The sequence below is a fragment of the Homo sapiens genome, chromosome 4 (genome assembly GCF_000001405.40).
Source record: "Homo sapiens chromosome 4, GRCh38.p14 Primary Assembly".
NCBI lineage: Eukaryota > Metazoa > Chordata > Mammalia > Primates > Hominidae > Homo > Homo sapiens.
This window is the reverse complement of record NC_000004.12, coordinates 73,796,987-73,799,725: the sequence shown is the minus strand read 5'-3', so window position 1 is coordinate 73,799,725 and position 2,739 is coordinate 73,796,987. Positions and strand designations below refer to the sequence as shown.

The window sequence follows — 2,739 nt, the reverse complement described above, 5'->3', positions numbered from 1 at the left end:
CCAGGGTGAAGTAGGATACTTAGCCCACTCTCCTTCCCCACATAGAGGATGTTTCTCTTGGCTCTGTGCTGCGTAGGCTTAGGAGAGAGCGTCACAAGCAATATAAAACTGTCCTTTCCACCTTCTTCAATTAATTCTTTCTCATTTATGTCCAACACTCAGATGCTATAATCTCTTACCTGAAATTAAGAGCTCTTGTGAAGGATTTTTTCATGCATGGATGATTGTTTATATTAGTGTTTCTATGAGGAGATGAGGGCTCCACCATATTGCTGATGTCATTTTGTCAATTTATGCTTTTACTTTCCAACTGGTATATTTTTTGTCATTCTCATAGAAAAGCAGAGTAAAGTTTTAATTCTAATGTCTCAATTTTTTCTTACCACTACAAACAGGCTTTCTATTCTCAGCTCTAAAGTAGGATTATTTGACAATTACTCTTTTTCTTTACTACCACCTCCAAAATAATTAATTTTTATTCTACTGTATCTGTACCTCTCTCTGTCTTTCTATGATGGTATATTATCCAACTGCCTTGTTTTCCCCTGAACTTTGGTATCATTTGTGGGTTACCTCATTTACTTGGTGGTTGTGCATTCTTCACCAAAGGGCCATATTTAGTTTATATTTTATTTGTCTTATGCCTCATTTTATTATAAGCTCCTTTTGAAAAAGAACAATAGATCATCTCTGTAGTCTAAGTAACTTGTACCCTGAAGTTTTAATTGCAGTTGCCCAGTGTATCATTGTTGAATTTGAGTTAAAAAGCAACCAAGGTTATATATCTTATAAAAGACTTGTATCCAAAATATACAAGAACTCTTAAAACTTACTAGTAAAAAATTAATAAGAAGTGGGCTAAAAATCTGAATAGACACTCTAGGAAATATGCAAATGGAGAATAAGCATATGAAAAGATGCTTAACATAATTTTTCATTAAGTAATTAAAAATTAAAACAATAATGCTATATCACTACCTATCTATTAGGATTATCATTTTTTGGACCTCTGGCTAAATGGCAAAAATCCAAAACATTGACAATCCCCAATGCTGATGAGAATATGGAATAATAAGAACTCTTGGCTGGGCGTGGTGGCTCACCCCTGTAATCCCAGCATTTTGGGAGGCCGAGGCAGGTGGATCACGAGGTCAGGAGATCGAGACCATCCTGGCTAACATGGTGAAACCCTGTCTCTACTAAAAAATACAAAAAAAAATTTAGCCAGGCATGGTGGCGGGCGCCTGTAGTCCCAGCTACTCGGGAGGCTGAGGCAGGAGAATGACATGAACCCAGGAGGTGGAGCTTGCAGTGAGCCGAGATCACGCCGCTGCACTCCAGCCTGGGCAACAGAGAGAGACTTCATCTCACAAAAAAAAAAAAAAAAAAAAAAAAAAAAAAAGAACAAAGAACTCTCATTCATTGGGGTTGGGAATCAAAAATGGTACAGGCACTCAAGCAGTTTCTTAGAAAGTTAAACATAGTCTTATCATACTACCCAGCAATCATGTTGTGAGGTATTTACCAAACTGATTTGAAAACTACAGAAAAACCTGAACAAGGATGTTTATAATACTTTATTCTTAAATGCAAAAATGGAAGCAAAACATGATGTCTCTCAATAGGTGAATAGATAAACCAGCTGGTTTATTCATAAAATGAATTAGTATTCAGCAATAAAAAGAAATGAACAATTGAGGCATAAAATGACATAGATGGATTTTAAATGCATATTGCTAAGTGAAAGAAACCAGTCTGAAAAGGCTACATACTGTATTATTTCAATTATGTGATTAGTGGTTGCTAAGACTTTTGTGGGAGGTTTGAATAGGTGAAACACAAGGAATCTTTCAGGGTAATAAAACTATCCTATATGATATTGTATTGGTATATGCAGGACACTATGCATTTGTAAAAACTAACTCGTGGAATTTTATAGTGTAAAGGCAGAAGAAACAGTACATAAGATTGTTTTCTGGTCGGTAATGTTGATTACCATGGAGGTACAGGATAACAAATCTAAAACCACTATATATAGAATTGAACAATTAAGTAAAAAGGTAGCTGATAGTGGGAGCTAGGTTTCTCACTGTTCAAGTGAGTGGTTACATACAGAATAATTTATAGATATATGTACAAACTTTGGTTAGTATTCACACATATATTTCCTTGCATTGCCAGCTGAATATATCTAAAAGCAACAGTGCCCCAGTAGTAATGAATATATTTACTATCCAGAACTTGTTTTCTAATACCACTCCCCAGTAATAGGAACCAGGGATCCTTGAGAAAATGGTTGATTCTCAAACTATAGCATAAAACATACTACATAAGCCAGAAGTACCTTGTAGTTCCAGGAACCATGAGCCACAGCACTGGGTGGGTGTTCAAGGTTAACGTCAATTGTAATAAATCATATTGACATGATAAAGATGACATAATATCTTTGATGTGATGTAACGAGTATATGACTTCTTATCTCTATGGGTTTCTTCTCCAAACCCAAAAATTCTAGCCTAATTATGAGAAAAATATCAGATAAATCTTTTTTTTAACTTTAGGGAGAAAATTTTGTATTTTTAAAACTTGCATAAAAGTTATGCAAGTTTTGCCAGGAGCGGTGGCTCACGCCTATAATCCCAGCACTTTGGGAGGCAGAGGCGGGCGGATCACGAGGTCAGGAGATCGAGACCATCCTGGCTAACACAGTGAAACCCCGTTTCTACTAAAAATACAAAA

General features: G+C 35.9%; 1 annotated feature.

Moving 5' to 3' along the window:
- Positions 1,142–1,342: a silencer, noted in NCBI's record as "fragment chr4:74664101-74664301 (GRCh37/hg19 assembly coordinates)". NCBI's record gives its function as "represses an EF-1alpha promoter that drives an FKBP-Casp9 reporter gene in an ReSE screen in HepG2 liver carcinoma cells and K562 erythroleukemia cells {active_cell/tissue: HepG2 | K562}" and the evidence as "EXISTENCE:reporter gene assay evidence [ECO:0000049][PMID:32094911]".